Below are 19,774 nucleotides of genomic sequence, written 5' to 3' on the forward strand. Positions count from 1 at the left end.
GATCCTGGACCCACATTATCACTATAACTATTTTTGCTTTTTATGTATCTGAGTTTTTAGTGGCATTAGTGAATATGAAATGATATTTAGGCATTGATCTAGTATGGTGTTTGAACATGCCTAAATATCATTGTTCTATTATGTTTAAATACCAAAGAAAATATATCACATCTTATACATATTCGAATGTGACTACAGACAGAAAGGTTTTAAAATGTTAACAACAATGCTAACACACGTTTTCAGGTTAAATTATTGCAGTGCCAACTGAAGAAATGAACAGAAATAAGATAAACTTATTGAGAATAGCCCCCAGCCACCATTCATTCTGGACACATTGCTAATATGCTTTTTTTTTCAGTTCCTCGAAGGGCGTGAAATTGATCATTGAATTCTTCTAATTCATTGAATTCTACTAGTGATCCAGTGATCCAGTTGATTTAATCCATAATATGTAATGGTAATAGCAATGCTTTCAGTTTCTTTTCTGTTTTTTGAGACAGAGTCTTGCTCTGTCACCCAGGTTGGAGTGCAGTGGTGCGATCTCAGCTAACTGCAACCTCCGCCTCCCAGGTTCAAGCAATTCTCCTGCCTCAGCCTCCTGAGTAGCTGGGATTATAGGCGCCCGCCACCACACCCAGCTAATTTTTGTATTTTTAGTAGAGACGGGGTTTCACCATGTTGGTCAGGCTGGTCTCAAACCCCTTGACCTCGTGATCCACCTGCCTGAGCCTCCCAAAGTGCTGGGATTACAGGTGTGAGCCACCACATCCGGCCAACTGCTTTCAGTTTCTTGAAAGAAAATGAGTATAATGAGATATGGCATGGAAATTCTAATTGTCAAAGGACATCAGGTAATTTACTTGAGTGTTAAGCTGCAGATAATCATGACTTTTCTGCTGTCATTGATTAAAATGGATTATTCAGGTGATCATTTGCAAAATTATGCCTGTTTCTTAAAAGACCAACAGCCTTTCTGATGTTGCCTTTGAGCTATTGCCTGCATGAAACACAAGGTGGTCCTCCAGGCATCCTGCTTTCTGTGTGGTCAGGTGCTACTTTTCCCTGGGTAATGTAGTTGTGATGCTTTTTCACAATAACCTGTACATTCTGGTTACATTTTATTTATCTCAAAGGCACCATTAAATTGATTTCCATTGATATTTGACATTATTTTCCCTTGTATTTCAAATATAGCTTTTTCCTTTGTACCAAAAAAAAACAAAAAGGCTATGCTGAGATAGAGTAGGTTCCTAAAAATTACACAGCTGAACCATGGTCCAAAGCAATAAAGTTCTGTCCAGGGTCACCTGGCTGTTCAGTGGCCAGTGTGGGACTCTGTAAGCCAAAGCAAATAACTGAGGCAAATCTCAATGAATGTAGAGGTTTACCTTTCCAAAGTTGGGGATGTGCTCTGGGAGGGGGCGGGACAAAAATCACAGGAGGACCTGTGATCCCTGCTCTTTCCAAAGAGGACTTTAATGACTTCAGTATATAAAGAGGAAAGAGACCGGGCGCAGTGGCTCACGACTGTAATCTCAGCACTTTGGAAAGCTGAGGTGGGCAGATCACGACGAGGTCAAGAGATCGAGACCATCCTGGCCAACACGGTGAAACCCTGTCTCTACTAAAGATACAAAACTTAGCTGGGCGTTGTGGCGCATGCCTGTAGTCCCAGCTGCTCGGGAGGCTGAGGCAGGAGAATAACTTGAACCCGGAGACGGAGGTTGCAGTGAGCTGAGATCATGCCACTGCAATCCAGCCTGGGCAACAGAAGGAGACTTGGTTTCAAAAAAAAAAAAGGAAAGAGGAGCAAAGGAAGCAGGAAAGAAGAAAGAGGGGAGAGTAGACAAATAAGGCCAGCAGTTGCATTCTTTGGAAGCTTCAGTCAACACTCACTGAATCCACATTTTACATGTGAGTGGAGGATTGAAGATTCGTGAGTATAAAGAAAACATAGAGTAGAGGAAGCAGGCAAATATGCATTTGCCTGGGGTGAGTGGAGAGATGAATTTTAGTCTTGTCTTTGCCCTGTATCTGTGAAGATAATTAATTCACATGGTCATGGTGAAATTAATTCATTAATTCACATGGTCATGGTGAAATTAATTCATTAATTCACATGGTCATGGCGAAATTCAACAGAGCTCTGTTTTAGGGTAAAGATTTGGGGGCCCACAAAGAACTTCCTTGTGAGTAATTTGTGAGGGAGTCCACCCATGGAGACACGTGGCCTTCCATCTTCGCATCTCTCTATTTAGAATCAAAATGGGAGGCGGTTTTTGCACGACTCAGTTCTCAAGCTTAACTTTTCCTTTTGGTATAGTGAGTGTGAAGGTCCAAGATTTTATTTTCCTTTCATACGTTGTATTTTCTCAGGCTGCTGACAAAGATATACCTGAGGCTGGATAATTTATAAAGGAAAGAGGTTTATGGACTCACAGTTCTACATGACTGGGGAGGCCTCGCAATCATGGTGGAAGGCAAAGGAGAAGCAAAGTCATACCTTACATGGTGGCAGGCAAGAGGGAGCTTGTGTAGGGGAACTCTCATGTATAAAACTATCAGATCCCATGAGACTTATTCACTGTCATGAGAACAGCATGGGAAAGACCCGCCCCCATGATTCAATTACCTCCTACCAGGTCCCTCCCGTGACACATGGGAACTGTGGGAGCTACATTTCAGATGAAATTTGGGTAGGGACACAGCCAAACCATATAAGACATCCAAGTCTCACGTAAACAGTCCCTTTTGATATTAGTTGTGTGTCTGTGTGTCGTTGGTTTGCATGTACCCCTGAGGTTTATCAGTTTAGATGTGTGTGTGGCCAGCGGTCAGTATCCCACTGTTGTTCTTCTTGATGGCACCTCGTCTCCTCTCTCTGCTACTGAGGGTGCTGCTGAGGCTCCACAGTGGTTGCATAAGGTGGTAACATAGACTGATATTTATTTCATTTTTAATGCCAAATTCTAAGCTTAGTACATTTCATCCTCAAAACAGCCCTACAGGTGAGCCTAGTGCAGTCCCCATTGGACATTCCAGAGTTCTTCTGGGAAAGAGACCCTGGGTTCCTCTGTGGTCACCCCAGGAGAAATCCAGGGCAAGGGGTGGGGACCACAGCTGAAATGCGTATCTGATGGATTCTAGCTCTTCGGTCACTGGGGACCTCTCTTGTGAAATCAAACCAGCTGTCACTGTGTGATTCTATCAGGTCCAGTGCTAGGCACTTGGCCTAGTCCTTACATTGAACCCTCCCTCTGAACTCATTCTGGTAGTTTCTATCATCGCTAATTTCAGAAGAGGACACCGGGCTCAGAGCACATGGGTGCCTTCCCCAGGTCACGCAGCTCGCAGAGCAGATCTATGATGCCCATTTGATGACTCAGTGCTTTTTTTCCTGCTTTAATACACTGCTCCCCTGCATCTACTGCGTTTAGGTGTGACGTGCTTATTTTGTGAACAGTAATCGCCACAGGCGTAGGGACTGTGTTGCGGCATCTTACTCTCTAAGATAAAGCCTTTTTCATAAGTCATCGTATCTGTCAATAAAATACAAAACTGTGATAAAGTCAGTCCTAAGAAACCTAATTGGTATTTCCGTGGAAATCTATATATATATTTAACACAGCATTCTTAATTTTGACCTGATGGCTCCACCGGTCTGTTGTGTGCCTAAAATTAGATCTAATACTGTGTGTGTGTGTGTGTGTGTGTGTGTGTGTGTGTGTGTGTGTCTCTACATGCACTTATATTTCCCCCAACCTCCTTAGCAGAAGATACAGTGCTTTCTCATCAGATTCTCAAAATTTTTTTGTTTTAATACTTTTTAAAAGTAGGAAAATCATTTAAGGATACTCTAACAGAAATAACAAAAGATGTAAAAACCAAAGTTACTTTTGCACTGTCTTAATAAATGCATCTTTTGGTGTTTCCTTTGCCATTACTTTTGATTGCAAAAACTGCAATTGCTTTTGCATCAGCCTAATACAAGGAATTGCAACAGTCATTATCACAGCAAAAGACTGGAAATAATGCAAATGTCCATCAGTAGAGGACTGGTTGGATAAACACCCCATGGAATATTATGTATCTGTAAAAATGCGATGAGGGACATGTCTATATACTTCTGTGGAATGATGAACAGAACATATTGTTAAGTGGAAACGTAGGATGGAAAAAATTCTGTGTAATATGCTGTCATTTATCAAAGAAAAGGAAATACTAATCAATAGCTATTTGCTTACATTAAAAAGGATAAACCCTAAATGCTGAAAAAGCTTGTAAATATTTTAGATAACTTAAAATGCTGTTAAATAATCCCTAAACATCAAAGGCAGAATGAAACATTTTGAATGTATCAAGTTGTTAGCTTAACCAGAATCCTAACAGAAGAATTATTTCAAGAGACTTTAAACTCCAGTATTAGACTGTACATTCCAAGTGGGATAGATTCAGTGGAGAAAAAAGATGCTACAAATAATTTTAAACTGTTTTCAGTAATCACGTTATTATTGATGGATTTATTTTGCTAGGATAAAGGAAGTACTAACTGTGCTTATATTGTTAAGAACCAAGATTTTTAATATATAAAAGAGATACAAATATAAAATCAAAGAAGCTAAGTAACATTTATAGTCCTAAATTTAAAATTAATACATTTCTAAGAACTAATGAAGTATTTTTTCTTTAAAATTAAAATTTTTAAAGATACACTCACACAAAAGCTCTATTTACCAACTCAGTAACAATAACCACCCTTCAAACAGATTAAGAGGCTGTAGCCTCTTAATCTAGTTTTCTCAATAAAAGGAGCCAGAACTTTTTGTATAAATGGATGATTCCAGGCCTATAACAAGTGTAAACAGTGTAGTAGAGGTTCCTCTTCAAAGAGACTTTTCTCCCCATCTAATTAGGAATAAATACTAACTTCCCTTAGAAGCAAAATTTATTCAAGACCCGTGCTAGCATTCTTAGATATCTGCTAGCCGTAATAAAGAAATCAATGTACTTTGTGTTCTTAGCTCCCACATTTTAGCCTGAATATTTGCCCTGGCATGCTTATACTGGTCCAAGCAAGCATTAGGTCATAGCCTGTTCCTCTTCCTTATTTGAAGGTGTTTTTACCTTTGTCAGCATTCCACAAGTTACTTCTTCCTTCCTTTGTTCTCCTCTGCCTTTGCCTCTTTTAAGAAGTTCTAAGTTGGCCGGGCGCGGTGGCTCACGCCTGTAATCCCAGCACTTTGGGAGGCCGAGGCGGGTGGATCACGAGGTCAGGAGATCGAGACCATCCTGGCTAACACGGTGAAACCCCGTCTCTACTAAAAATACAAAAAATTAGCCGGGCGCGGTGGCGGGCGCCTGTAGTCCCAGCTACTCGGGAGGCTGAGGCAGGAGAATGGCATGAACCCGGGAAGCGGAGCTTGCAGTGAGCCGAGATTGCGCCACTGCAGTCCGCAGTCCGGCCTGGGCGACAGAGCGAGACTCCGTCTCAAAAAAAAAAAAAAAAAAAAGAAGTTCTAAGTTGCTAACCAATTGGGATAAATAGAGAACGTTAGGTTCCGTTCCAGTCAATGGAAACCAGACACTGCAGTAAGGTGGATGTGTCAGGTTATAAATGACCTTGTATCCTTTGTTCGGTGTACTCTGGTGGCAAAACTGCTGGCGTGTATACCCTTTCTGCAGAAAGTAAACTAGCCTTGCTGAGAGATCCTTTGTCTCAGTGTTGATTTTTTTAACACCAAGCAGCAGTTCCCAACACAAGGAATGTACAAGATGAGCCTCGGATACCTTGCTGAGTCAGAAAGCTAGAAGCCTGCCAAAGATTCCTGGCTCCTGTCAAGAGGAAACTCAAGAAACATTTCCAAAAGAAACATATGACATTAGCATATTTTTCTTTATCATTTAGAGAAAAGCATCGTGGTTTTCCTGTACGATCTCAAACTCAGGGTACTGAGATATTTGGTGAAGGTTGTTTTTTCTTAAAAGAAGTAATCCAGCCAGTCATGAAAAAGAAAAAAGAATTAGAATATCATTAGCCTTGCAACACTCAAAGATGTAAAGGATCTGGGAAATGATTGTTAATGGCTGCTAAAAGTATTAGGTGGGAAGCTGATGGGGACCTTTGCAAGTCAGCCTATATTCCCTGAACACTGAAGCATCCTAACACCAATGCTCTGGGCCTCACCAGGCATTCTGTGTGCATATACATGAAGCCATCAATGGTGCAATCTTGCCAAAAATCCAACTCTGAACCTAACCAATGCCTTAGATCCAATTGCCTGATTATAGCAGATCTAGAGAACCCAGGGGACGTGTTCAATGGCACCACAGAGATGGAGCTGGCAAGATCCAGAATATGGGAAACTCCCAACAAACAGATCCATTATTTTATCACGTGAATTCAGGAAAAACAGAACGTCAAGGGAGAGTTTGAATGTGGAGAGAGACATGAGAAGCATGTCAGCTGAATGCAATAAACGAACCGTGTTTTGATTGTGATTCTATGTTAACTGAGAGAAAATAAAATACCAAATTGGAATTTTGAATACTCACTAGACATTTGATGATATTAAGGAATGATTGTAGGTTTCTAGGTATGATAATGGTGTTGTGGTTATGTTTTTTAAAGTTCTTAATTTGGAGAACCCTTAGTGAAAGAGCTTCGAAGAAATGATTTCAAGTCTGGGAGTCAGTGTTGGGAGAGAGAAAGTGGACAAGCATTTATGTGAAATGAGACTGGACGTGAGTTATTAAATGTTGAGGCAGGACTGCAGGTTTCAAGGGCTCCTGTACTATTTCCTCTACTTGTGTATATCTTTAAATCTTTCATTAAAAAATAAGCTTTTTACAAAAACAAAACAGTGAAAGCTATTACCATGTCAATACGCCTTTCTGAGTCTATGAACTTTGCCAGGTAACAACAGCAAATCAACAACGATGTTATGATGCACATTGAGTTTGCTCACAGATTCCTGGTAAAAACAGTGCTTCTTTGATAAACATCCTTGCTTTTGAGACAGCGCTCCTGTCTTCCACTAACCTGACCTCATTCTGGGGCTTCGAATCCTGTTCTTCATCTTCAAACCAAGAGAGATTTTCCCAGAAATATTTTCAGTTATTCAACCTGTTGAAATTCCATTTTTATGTTTCATGTCTCCTGCATTAGAAAGCTATGACCAGATGGTTTTTAAAAAGGGGGGAAAAGAAAACGACAACAACTAGCACACACCTGGCATCTCCTTCCTCTCTGACAACCGGTGCAACCTCACTCCTGTCCCCACACCTGTAGGATGCTGTCCAAGAGCAGGAGCCTATTCCAGGCAATGGGCTTCTCCTTGAGCCTGAGACAGTGGACTTTGTTCTACACCGGGTGGGAGGGCAGGCAGGGATGGAAGAGATGATGTTGTTTTGCTTAAAGAAAAGAAATGAATGGATGAGGCTTTACTCTTCAGAATTTCTTGTTTTTAAATGGAATTGTTCTTACTTAAATAGCATTAAATGGGGCCATTTGAACTGCCATAGTATGTGCCAACACTGGTCAGATATCAGTAGTTTGATATGTGTTACCCTAATACCTCAACTAATAATAGAAGTATTACTTTCCTCCTATGAAAGTAGCCTTTTTTTTTTTCTGTCAGTACAAATCTAGTGGCTCTAATCTTGGAGATAAAAAGGGACTTGACTTCAGGTCTCCCCAGCCCACAGACCAAGCTCTTCTCACTCCACTGGGGCCAGGACAAGAGACAAACATCTTCCTTCTTCCTCGCAACAGACAGTCTGGACAGTCTGGACCTTTAAAATCTTAGAAGTTCATACCAAACCACCCAGGGAACCACCGCTGTTGGACACGGTGTTAAATAGTGCATAGCACTGATGTGTGGTGCAGTGAATTTGCCATGCGGAATTTAGCATGAATTAAAATGAATGAGCACTTGTCTGGAGAAAGGGGAAGAGATAGCATCTCCAGCCTTCGTGGGGACAGATGAAATTCCACATGGATTGCTTCATCACCCTGGAAGCTGCGTGACCTCTAACATGGCATCAGTTAATCGTCCCAAGGCTCCGAGCCCAGGTGCTTTGGGGGGAAAGCACAGACTATGGGCCTGAAATGACAAGGTGTTGAGCCATGTGGAGCCTCCAGCTGTGCTTTCCTACCTGAGACTCTCTCTGTTCTGAACATGAGATGTGAAAAGCACCTTGTTTTCAGGACAGGTCAGAGTTCACCGACTTGGGAGTTGAACAGCCAGACTAAGTATTCAGATAACACTCCTTCATTAAAAGTGTCAAGTTTCCGGGAGATCAGACATTTGAAAATGATTTTTCTATTCATTTTCCCTGTATGTGAATTTATAGGAGGATGCTAGGTTGGGTAAGGAAAAAAAAAACAACATTGAATGTACTGTATTTATATTAGGTGCTGCTTGAGTGTAGGGGGAGGCTAATGTCTGCATAGTTTACAAAATTCCCCACTGCTCAGCCTTATAGCAGTGATGAGATGAACCCATCTATCCATCTGTGTGAGTCAAGTCAACTTATTTATGTTGAAAATTTTAGTGGTGCCGGGGAGGACAGTGTGTGAAATATGGTGATGAAGGCCCCAAGCCCACCCATGGCCACTGGTCGGACTGGTCTTCTTGGTCCCCATGCTCCAGGACCTGCGGAGGGGGAGTATCTCATAGGAGTCGCCTCTGCACCAACCCCAAGTAAGTATGCCTTGACCTCCTTCCTCACAAACGACTGATTTCCATGCCATGAACCCTCCAAGCAGTATGCCTGTGTCTCAGCTCTTTTTTTTTTTTTTTTTTTTTGAGATGGAGTCTCGCTCTGTCACCCAGGCTGGAGTGCAGTGGTGTGATCTTGGCTCACTGCAACCTCCGCCTCCCGGATTCAAGCTATTCTCCTGCCTCAGCCTCCCAAGTAGCTGGGACTATAGGTGCCACCACCACGCCCTCCTAATTTTTGTATTTCTAGTAGAGACACGGTTTTACCATGTTGGTCAGGCTGGTCTCGAACTCCTGACCTTAGGTAATCCACCCGCCGTGACCTCCCAAAGTGCTGGGATTACAGGTATGAGCCATCGCGCCCGGCCTCAGCTCTTAATAGCAAGCCTGTACTGTACATATAATCGTAAGAAGCACTGAATAGGAAAGGTATTTCACTCAAGCATTTCTTAATTACCTCTCTGTGCTATAACTTAAGATGCTTATAACTACCTGACCACAGCAAAAAAATAACAGCAGCAACAGTGATATTCAGGAATTGAATTTTAACCACATTTACTTGACATACCAAGGATCTGCTTAAAACAAATAAATAAATCATAAGAAAAGTGTATAGAATACAAATAAATAAGATCAGTAAGAACAATGGTTTTACGTGGAAAAAAGCAAATTTGGGGGTTTTCCATCAAATATATTTACCTTCACAACAGGAGGTTTAACTGCCAGCTTCTGTAAGAAGTAAGAATGAATGTGAGAAGCATCACCAGTGTGCGGAAGTGAAGAGGCTTTAATTTTTAATTTTTTAAATTTAACTTTTATTTCAAGTTCAGGGGTAGAGTATAGGTTTGTTACATAAGCAAACTTGTGTCACGGGTGTGTGTTGTGCAGATTATTTCATCGCCCAGGTATTAAACCTAGTATTCATTAGTTATTTTTTGCAGTCCTCTCCTTCCTCCCACCCTCCACCTTCCAACAGGCCACAGTGTGTATTGTTTCCCTTTATATGTCCATGTGTTCTCATCATTCAGCTCTCACTTATAAGTGAGAACATGCGGTATTTGGTTTTCTGTCCCTGCGTTAGCTTATTAAGGATAAAGGTCTCCAGGCTCCATCCATGTTCCTGCAAACAACATGATCTCTTCCTTTTTTATGGCTGCATGGTATTCCATGGTGTGTATGTACCACATTTTCATTATCTGGTCTAACATTGATGGGCGTTTAGGTTGACTCCATGTCTTCGCTATTGTGAAGGTGCTGCACAATGAACATTCATGTGCGTGTGTCTTTATGGTAGAATGATTTATATTCCTTTGGATATATACTCAGTAATGGGATTGCTGGGTCAAATGATATTTCTTTTTGTAGGTTTTTGAGTAATTGCCACACTGTCTTCCACAATGGTTGAATTAACTTACACTCCTACCAAAGTGTATAAGTGTTCCTTTTCCTCCATAACCTCGCCAGCACCTGTTATCTTTTAGCATTTTAATAGTAGCCATTCTGACTGGTGTTTTTCACATCTCCCTTTGCCCTTAAGCTTGTTTAAGATGTGTCACTTGGCTTGTTGTTTCAGTCCCATCTTTAAAGCATGAGCTCACCTCACCCCCTACGCCACGCTGTACCCCTTGCGCTGCCCGCATTACCAGTGTGTACATGCAAATTCTCTGGGGTGAGCTGTCAGTGCCAACCAGCAAAGGTGACTGGTTCTTTAGTCTTGGTCTTTGGGTCCTGGCCTTGTCACCAGAAGACTGGTGGTGGAAAGAAATTTTGGTCTTGAAAGCAAAGTCATTGAACTTCCCTCTGAGTTCCACATTCTCTCAAATGTGCTATCCTGGGAAAGTGTGGTCCTCCTCAATCAGCCCCTCCCTGTGCAGGGTGAGGACAGCCCTGCCCACCCTGCCTCACCACTGCAGAGGCACTGGGCCCAGAGAGGAGCAAAGACAGGCCAGCCTGCCCTGCTGCTCTTGTAAAGGATTCACTCAATAGAAAAGGGAGTGCAACCTTACCATTCGTGTGTAAGAATGTGTTCTAGACCACTTAGAAATCCACTTTTCCAGCTGGGCGTGGTGGCTTCTACCTGTAATCCCAGTACTTTGGGAGGTTGAGGTGCACGGACAACAGGGTCAAGAGATCAAGACCATCCTAGCCAACATGGTGAAACCTCGTCTTTACTAAAAATACAAAAATTAGCTGGGTGTGGTGGCGTGTGCCTATAGTCCCAGCTACTCGAGAGGCTGAGGCAGGAGAATCACTTGAACCCAGGAGACAGCGGTTGCAGCGAGCCGAGATCACACTACTACACTCCAGCCTGGGTGACAGAGCGAGACTCCATCTCAAAAAAAAAAAAAAAAAAAGAATCCACTTTTTTCCTAATTACCCATTCTAACACTCTTAGCTTCATCTCTCCAATAAGCCTAATTTTAAAGAATTTAGTAGCTACTAAAATATAAAAATTCTAACTTCAAAATACACATTCCAGGCCATCGCATGGAGGGAAGTTCTGTGAGGGCTCCACTCGCACTCTGAAGCTCTGCAACAGTCAGAAATGTCCCCGGGACAGTGTTGACTTCCGTGCTGCTCAGTGTGCCGAGCACAACAGCAGACGATTCAGAGGGCGGCACTACAAGTGGAAGCCTTACACTCAAGTAGAAGGTAAATCTCAAACTGCTTTCGGGTAATAGCCTCATGCTTTACTACCTTTACTTTTTAAAGAAGTACATGATTGAGAGTGTGGTGCACAAATAAACCAGACGTCGCTCTGGGAGGTGAGGGTCGCATATTCTCTTCTGGAGGTTAGTTTTATTTTGCCAGCCCCACCATCACGACCTCTTATCTAAACTTCACCAGCGGTGAGGTCAGAAATCAACACACCAGATAGAAAGCGTGTGCATAATACAATGAAACTCATCAAAGAAGTGATAAAAAACACAAAGTAGATCCTGCATGGAAATTGAATCAGTATGTTTTTGAATTAAGAATTACAGTAGTTGTTGCTATAAGCAAGTTACCCATTGAATACTTATAATTGTCAAAGAATGAAAAAGAAATTTCAGTATATTTTAGAAAATGGAACAATTTTGAAGCATAGTATGTTCAGAAAGTCTTGATCTATAACTATACACCAAGAAGTTTATTTGTGGCATGTATAAGACTTTACTCCCCAGTGGGAAAGAAATAAGTGTTGTTTTCATGATTAAAATAACTTAAAGTCAGTAGCTCAAGTGGCATAATTAAGGAGAAATTCAAAGAAAACCTAATCATCTCATTGCTTGAAACTGGGAACATTGCCCGAAAAAATGACAGAAGCCCTTTGGATGTACATAAGTGGGACGTCCCATCTGACATTCCCATTCATCATCTCAGTGCATACAGTGTTTTCACAGTGTCAGGTTCATGCAGTTAGAAAATTCTGAAAGGAAATTACAAGCAATTTCCCGGAAGCATGTTTGGTTGTCCCTTTACTCCTAAATCTGTACAAATGTAGCCAGTATGATACAGGCCACTAGGGAGGAGAGAAAGGTAGAATGAACTTTGAAACCGTGGTTCAAAAATGTGTGTGTATTCCTCCTGACTGCCAATCTTCAGTGAATAAGCTCATTAATCATGGAAGCACACAGTAATCATGGACGCACACACTAAATTTGATTCTTAGAATTATTCAGTTGGGCCTCTTATCTTGAATGATAAGGAAAATATCTGTAGATGAGTCTCAGGCCTATAAAAATTTCTAAGACAGATGAAATTTTCATCATTAATTGTCCCTCCCCTTTTTTTTTTACCAAGAAGAGAACAAAAGGGGCAAAATGGTTTGAAAAAAAGTTCATATTAAATATAAACCAAAAACCTTGAAATGGATTATTTAGGAAGGAAGTAAACTTCCTATTTCTCTAGGTACCAATATTTTAAAACAGTTTATTGTATTTGTGGAAAACATTGTTCTCGAGACTTCATCTAAGTTATTCCTTTTATTAGTTTAATTTTTATGTATTTTACCAAATGCGTTAAGAAATTCAGTGATGTTTTTGATTCTTTTATTACATTTTATCTGTAAGAATTTTGTGTGTTACTACAAAATGGCAGTTTTTTTTTTTGGATTTCTACAAGATAGTAGTTAATGATACTAGTGAAATAGTAAAGCATTAATGTTGTAGCCAACAAATATTTATTGAATGCCTACTATGTGCCAAACACTGTATAAAAATCAAAGGTCTTAAAGGACACTGTAGAGTAAAATTTAACATTGAAGCAATAAATAAATTTAAAGAAACAAAACAAAACATAATGAGGCAACCATTAAAAATGCCATTGTAATGTATTATTGTGTGGGAGTTATTTTATGGGGGAAGAAAGAAAGTCTATCTAAAATTCAGAGCAAAAATGATCAGAGCTTAAGTATTTTTCTTATTTGTGTTTGTGTGTGTATTTCTTTTTAAGATCAGGACTTATGCAAACTCTACTGTATCGCAGAAGGATTTGATTTCTTCTTTTCTTTGTCAAATAAAGTCAAAGATGGGACTCCATGCTCGGAGGATAGCCGTAATGTTTGTATAGATGGGATATGTGAGGTAATCATGATCCTTCATTCATTCAACAAATGATTCCGGACAGTCTGCTTTGTGTCAAGCATCCTGTAGAGGCTAGAAAGACTGGACATATGAGACAAGCCTTTCCCTCTAAGTTGCAGCCCAGTGGGGAGAAAGCCAGAAGAACACATTGATGACATGCTGCTTTGCTGCAGTGGAAGTGTGTGCAGAGCATAAGGAGAGGGAGGGGCCCGTTCTGTCTTAGATATGGGTCTGGGACATTCGTGGGGCTCCTAGGAGAAGGGAACATCCACATCCAAGCTAGATCTGAAAGGGTGAGTTGGAAGAGGGATGTCAGGAAAATAGAGAGGGGACGTGGTGGTGCCAGATGCATGGGTTGCTAGCCACTGATTCAGTCATCAGAACGCCCAGAGGGAAAGTGGGGGACTGGGGGATGCTGTGGGAAGGGTTGGGGTAAGAAGAGGGTCTCCAAGGCCGACTCCAAGGCTGGATAAGGAGTTGGGATTTTTATCCTGTGTCCATGTAGATAGAGCAGGCATTGAGTCTGGGAACAGTGGAGCCACAGGATTTGGTTGCGGTTTGTGGGCAGTAGTGTGGAGAGTCAGTGAAGCAGGGGTGGGTGAGAGCCTGGGCCACTTCGCAGCTCGGACAGAGGCCTCAGCAACATAGAGCAGCTACACTTTCACTGAGGAGGGCGGGCAGACAGGGATGCAGGAGACAAGCTGGGGAAGTGTTGGTGGCTAAAGGAACTTAAGTGACTGATGTTACCCTTACCCTGATTGGCAGAGGGAAGGGGTGGAAAAAAATGTTATCATAAACCAAGTGAAGGTGTTAGCAGATCAAACACATTGCATGTAGACAATGGGGTTTCAAATGAAGAAGTTTTTCAATCTGCATATCCTACGGAGTCCAAAAACATCTTTTCTAGTTCTCGCTTCCCCTAAATTATTGACCATGGTAAAGTTGAATCATCCACTGAGATCCTTAGTGTAATCATTTTGAATACATGAGGGTTAGGCTGGATGATTCCATTAAGATCTCTTTCATTGTACCTCAGCTGTACAGTCCTCAATTTTGTCTAATTGTTAATTGATGTGTTCACTATTTTATTGTATTTTGGTATTCTTAATGATATAGTGTCATAATCCCTTATTTGTAACTCTGAAATCCAAAAACCTGTGAAAATGTGGGGGACCTGAATTTGTTTGGTGGCAAAGCCTGCCCTGAACTGATGTGAGACTACTGATTGGTTTTATTTATCTCACTTACTGTAAATCTGTAGGGTTTTACTATAGAAACATTAATTAGTTAATTATGGGATGCCACCCTAAGCCCTTGTGGGATTCTCATATGCATTTCATACGTCACCTTTTAGACATAGGTCTAAAATTTTAATTTTAGAAAGGTAGTATCTATTACCTTTATAAAATTAAAAAACACTGTAAGTTGTGAAATACATCTGGCCCTATGGATTTCAAGCCAAGAATTGTAGTTATTTTGCTTCTGAATGGATTTTTTTTGTACATATAGAGCCTATTCTCTTTGTTAGAAAGTGTAATACAAACAAACATCAGAGTAATTTTAAAGAGCTCCTAAAATTCTAAGGAAGTGAATAAACATGCCCTTTATGTAATTACTACTGAGGAGAATTTCTGTGTGTCATCTGCTCCTTCTCTGTCATTGCATGAGACAATTAAAGCCCACAATGGCATATTTTGTTAGAACCTTGTGTAGACACATTGCTTGTCATTGTACTAAGCCCTTTAGGTCAGTGTGAAATTCACCCATCGCTCCAACATGACAACCTACAGGTTTAATTTGGGGCCACTTGTGTAACAATACTAAAGAGGACAGGTTACGGTTCACGGTTTAAAAGCTTCCTACATTTTTGAAGGGTAACACTGTAGCCCCGCTGTGCACATATTAGGTATCCAATAAATATTTGTTAACTACCCTATGTTGGTGAAATTTTCAACTCTAGTGGGGAGGAGGTTTCTTGCATGAGATTGGTGACAGTATTGCTGTGTTGTCCTTTCTTTCATGAATGACATGTGACCTCATGGGCCCTCCAGAGAGTTGGATGTGACAATGTCCTTGGATCTGATGCTGTTGAAGACGTCTGTGGGGTGTGTAACGGGAATAACTCAGCCTGCACGATTCACAGGGGTCTCTACACCAAGCACCACCACACCAACCGTGAGTACTTTAGAGCTGCCTGCAAGCCTTGGGCAAAGAAGATTGTAACTGGGGCTTCTTAGCAGAGCTTGAGGTGACAGTGAAAACAGCAGGACTTCCTTCCGCTGCCTCGCTTCCTGCCTCAGCTGGCGCTTTGCTTCTCGAGCCTCTTGCTTTGATTGGAAGTGGTTGCTGAGTTATTTGCAATAAAATTGTTCTTAGGAAAAGTGACCATCACAGGGGCTCTGCTCCAATTGATAAAAAGCAGCCGGGTGTAGTTCTAAGGCAACTGATCACCAGAACACGTCTTCACCCAGTTCCAAATGTGGATTCTCAGGTTTTGTTTACCGAGGACTGGGGTTGCTTAGAGATTTTGCCCCTGCTTTCTGGAATGAAAAGCTGTATCTTCCCCATTTCCTTTATCTAGAGTATTATCACATGGTCACCATTCCTTCTGGAGCCCGGAGTATCCGCATCTATGAAATGAACGTCTCTACCTCCTACATTTCTGTGCGCAATGCCCTCAGAAGGTACTACCTGAATGGGCACTGGACCGTGGACTGGCCCGGCCGGTACAAATTTTCGGGCACTACTTTCGACTACAGACGGTCCTATAATGAGCCCGAGAACTTAATCGCTACTGGACCAACCAACGAGACACTGATTGTGGAGGTAAAGTCCAGCCTCTTGATTTTGGGGCTTGGATTTTGGGGGTGTTCTGGTGTCTGTGTAAGTTAATGGCTGTTGGCATAATTTTAAGAAGAATGTAAACAGTTATAAAAAGAGTGATCCATCCATAGCCGGAATGAGGCAGCAGGCTTGTTTTTATCATCATTCACTTTTTGGTGTATGATTACGTTTGTATTTAAGTGCTCACCTGTGTTCCCATTTGGGGGTTTTAGCAGTAGGTGTTTGCAGAAGTCTTCTTCTGTCCTGTAAGCTCGATGGCTGTGAGATGCGGCCACTCTTGGGGGAGGGAGGTGGGGTCTGACTTCGCCTGTGTCTGGGGTGGGATCAGCATTTCTGCTGCGTTCTGTGGCAATAGGAGAGGAGAGCCCAGAGGTGAAGCCCCTTGCTGTGTGATGACCTACCTGTGTCACAGCATTGACCTTGGCGGGCCACAGCTCCGCAGTCACATCAACCCAGTGTCCAGTGCGGGGGTCACCCCCTGAACCGAGCAGTTCTGTTTACTCATGAATGCAGAGGCTCACAAAATATAGTCAGATTCTGACAACACCATCCTCGCATGCGACTGTGCAGATGGCAGTGGTGGGCAGTGGATGTTCTAACTCCCCACCTTGTTATGTTTCTGTGCACAGTTGAAAGAAGGTTCTTGGTTCAAAAGTTGCCCCATCCACCTACACCTTGCTGTGGAGGTACAGCCACCTGGATACCCCCACCTGTTCCCTGGGACAGGCCGCCCTATCCCATCCTCTTGCGTCTTCCTGGGAGATGCCTCCCCAGGCATTCGGGGTGTGGTTTAGATGGAGCAGCTGCTGCATCTCCACAGGTCCTACTTCCATCTCCTGTCCTGCCCCTGAACTCTTTCATCCTATCCCTTTATAAACAAATTTATCTTGAATTCTTTCCTTGATCAATTTATCTTGAATTCTTTCCATGATCTTTCCTTGATCACGTCTCCCACCATCTAAGGCTTTTAGCTTTAACAATCAGAGAGAAAGATGCCTCCGGGTTGAAAATAAGTGGGGCTTGTTAGGAAACTGTTCTCCACGGAAGAAGAGTTGCAGAGCCTCAGAATGTCAGGGCTGGAGAGTATCTCAATGGCCTTGCAGTGCAACCCCCTGTCCTGGGCTTATACCTGTCCCACAACATCAGCACCACTGAGACTGGAGCTGTGTCATCAAGCAGAGGGTGGAGCATGGGGCCAGGACACTCAGGGGAGGGTGAGGATCTTTTTCTACATGGGCATCATATCAGCATGCAATGCCTGTCAGGTGCAGGCATGGGATTTATGTCAACAGGTTATGGTGAGTTTTCCAGAAAAGTCTTCCAACTAAGATTCAAGGATCTAATACATTTATGAGAGAAATGGTGGCTGGTCCATATGATTGGGTTTCAAGCTAGGAAATGTAGAGTCCAAACCCATTCCATGCCCTAAACTATGACTCAGTGATCTTCTTTACTAATAAAACACCTTTTCCTGCGGACTTAATGGGTACCTGCCCGTAGGCAAAAGTCCCCTTCATCTCTCCCCATAGAAAGTGCTCTAACTTAACTTTGGTCAGGCATGGATCATACCTATTGCTGTTGAAGTGTCCTGCGTTATTTGAATTCACCAGGAAGCATGACGATGCTTTGTAGGTATCTCTTTCTGATTTGCTCAGATGCAGGGATTTGCAGGGGATCCCTCAGATGCAGGGATTTGCTCAGATGCAGGGGATCCCAAAGAAACACCAATGAGATAGCCAAATGCTTTTGTTAGGATGTATCAGATTATCACATATACCCCCAAAATATGTGTATCTGTTATGTATCAATAAAAAATGATAACTTAGAAATGCTTTTTCTAAGTTGCAAAAGTGTTTGAAGTTTTACATGCGGGCATACACTAACTGTAAGGAGAAGGTACAGTCTAGACATTTTTTTAGATGAGCTTGAATCTAGATGGGAGGGTTCAGAAATTTTATGTAAAGTTTGGATGATAGTCTGAATGTATTTTATCATCATAACAAACTTCTTGTTGATTGATTATTGTTTTAAGTAGTCTAAATCCCGTTAGCATGTACTTGCTGGTTTTGCATTAATTTGTTTTATTTTTTCCCCTTTCTTATTTTGTAGCTGCTGTTTCAGGGAAGGAACCCGGGTGTTGCCTGGGAATACTCCATGCCTCGCTTGGGGACCGAGAAGCAGCCCCCTGCCCAGCCCAGCTACACTTGGGCCATCGTGCGCTCTGAGTGCTCCGTGTCCTGCGGAGGGGGTAGGTGCCTTCCAGTGCTGCTCCTGGAGGCAGCATGTCAGCCTTCAGCCACTGCGTACATTGCACTGGCCTTTCTTGAATCCTAATGAGCAGCCCGGGGCTTCTCCCTGCCAGTAGCAGTGACATTCCCAAGGTGGGGAGTGGTGGTCCTGAGTGTCACTTGTCGGCCCGAGCTGCCTTCTCCAGTCTATCTGCTTCAGTGTGTGACTCTGAGGAAGTCAGTAGATGCATTGCTTCCTACTTTCCATCTAATTTAAGGTTTTTTAGAGGATGATTTTGTTAATTGAGATGAGTCAAATGAAAGTCACGGTAATTATGAGATACATCATGTTGACGGTGAGAAACAGACACTACCATGGAAAATACACTGACCTAGAGTGGGTTTTTTAATCTAACTAATCTTGTTCAAAACGTTTCCTGGAAAGAGCTTTGCCTGCAAGTCAGATAGTCAGATTTGTCCAGAAAATAAAAGAATATTTTGAAAGTTCCAATGAAAACATCAAGAAAAAAACATGTCAAAAAGAACTGCACATGTCAATTGAGTGCCTTGTCGCCTTCATACTGTAAACAATGGAAGCTCACATTTATATCGGTAAAGCTACTTCCACTTAAAGGAAGTTTTTAGCCAGAGCCAATATGTACTGACTGTCTGATATAAACAGTGATGAGTAAATATTTGCAAGTTTAAAACAACATAGTAAATTCTATCTGATATGTATAAAATACACAAGTTTCCATCTGGCCAAATGGATTTCAGCTTTATGCAATCTAGGTTTTCATAACTAAGAAGTTAATTTAGACAATATTATGTTTAAGTAAAAGAAAATGGTTCATAAATGAGAACTGGCATAAAGTTAAGAAGGTAGTGAATGAACAAAAATAAATAAAAATAAATTTACATGTTCTCAATAGTTGCTCTAAATAAATAAGGTGAAGAAACTAAAGGAAAACTGAAAGATTAACAAAAAGTTTAAATAGTCCTAAAAGTTAACACTATGTGCTTGACATATGTTCATTCTTCCCAGTATGAACTAAGGATGAAATAGTTAAATTATGGATGCTGGTAAAGCTAATGACTGAATGAAATACTGTCTTAGGAAAAACATGACTACCTTCTGCACAGAAGGATAGCAAGCATGTTGCTCTAATAGTGACCAGAGAGAAATATGAAGGAAATCTCACACTAGTGATATGGCCCAAGTCAGCCACCAGTTTACTTTATTTAGAAAGCAGTGGAACAGAAGGACATTGTATGCTCTTCTCTCTGTGTGACGTGGGACATTCCTAACCATATGTATTTTTCCTTTCTTTTCCCTCTGATCTTAAAACCATAACCATGTTTTTATGGATTATGTTGAATGCACTTGATTTTACCTCTCCCTATTTAGGATCTT

At 41.7% G+C, this 19,774-nt stretch overlaps 1 protein-coding gene across 4 annotated transcripts in view, besides 2 other annotated features; it reads left to right on the forward strand.

Moving 5' to 3' along the window:
- Nucleotides 1–19,774, forward strand: part of ADAMTS16 (ADAM metallopeptidase with thrombospondin type 1 motif 16) — a 179,975-nt gene that overhangs the window by 83,482 nt on the left and 76,719 nt on the right. For 3 of the 4 annotated variants that reach the window (XM_047416874.1, NM_139056.4, XM_047416875.1), the window contains exons 12-17: nt 8,557–8,705; nt 11,203–11,375; nt 13,158–13,288; nt 15,340–15,463; nt 15,870–16,114; nt 18,242–18,380. In XM_047416874.1, the coding sequence (XP_047272830.1) occupies nt 8,557–8,705; nt 11,203–11,375; nt 13,158–13,288; nt 15,340–15,463; nt 15,870–16,114; nt 18,242–18,380 (961 nt within the window). The remainder of the gene's footprint in view (nt 1–8,556; nt 8,706–11,202; nt 11,376–13,157; nt 13,289–15,339; nt 15,464–15,869; nt 16,115–18,241; nt 18,381–19,774) is intronic. The other variant, NR_136935.2, reaches the window with a different exon arrangement.
- Nucleotides 17,869–18,370: an enhancer, noted in NCBI's record as "H3K4me1 hESC enhancer chr5:5241793-5242294 (GRCh37/hg19 assembly coordinates)". NCBI's record gives its function as "activates a minimal SCP1, AML or CMV promoter by ChIP-STARR-seq in primed H9 embryonic stem cells {active_cell/tissue: H9 hESC(primed)}" and the evidence as "EXISTENCE:reporter gene assay evidence [ECO:0000049][PMID:30033119]".
- Nucleotides 18,371–18,870: an enhancer, noted in NCBI's record as "H3K4me1 hESC enhancer chr5:5242295-5242794 (GRCh37/hg19 assembly coordinates)". NCBI's record gives its function as "activates a minimal SCP1, AML or CMV promoter by ChIP-STARR-seq in naive H9 embryonic stem cells {active_cell/tissue: H9 hESC(naive)}" and the evidence as "EXISTENCE:reporter gene assay evidence [ECO:0000049][PMID:30033119]".

Source organism: Homo sapiens, chromosome 5 (assembly GCF_000001405.40).
Source record: "Homo sapiens chromosome 5, GRCh38.p14 Primary Assembly".
Classification (NCBI taxonomy): Eukaryota; Metazoa; Chordata; class Mammalia; order Primates; family Hominidae; genus Homo; species Homo sapiens.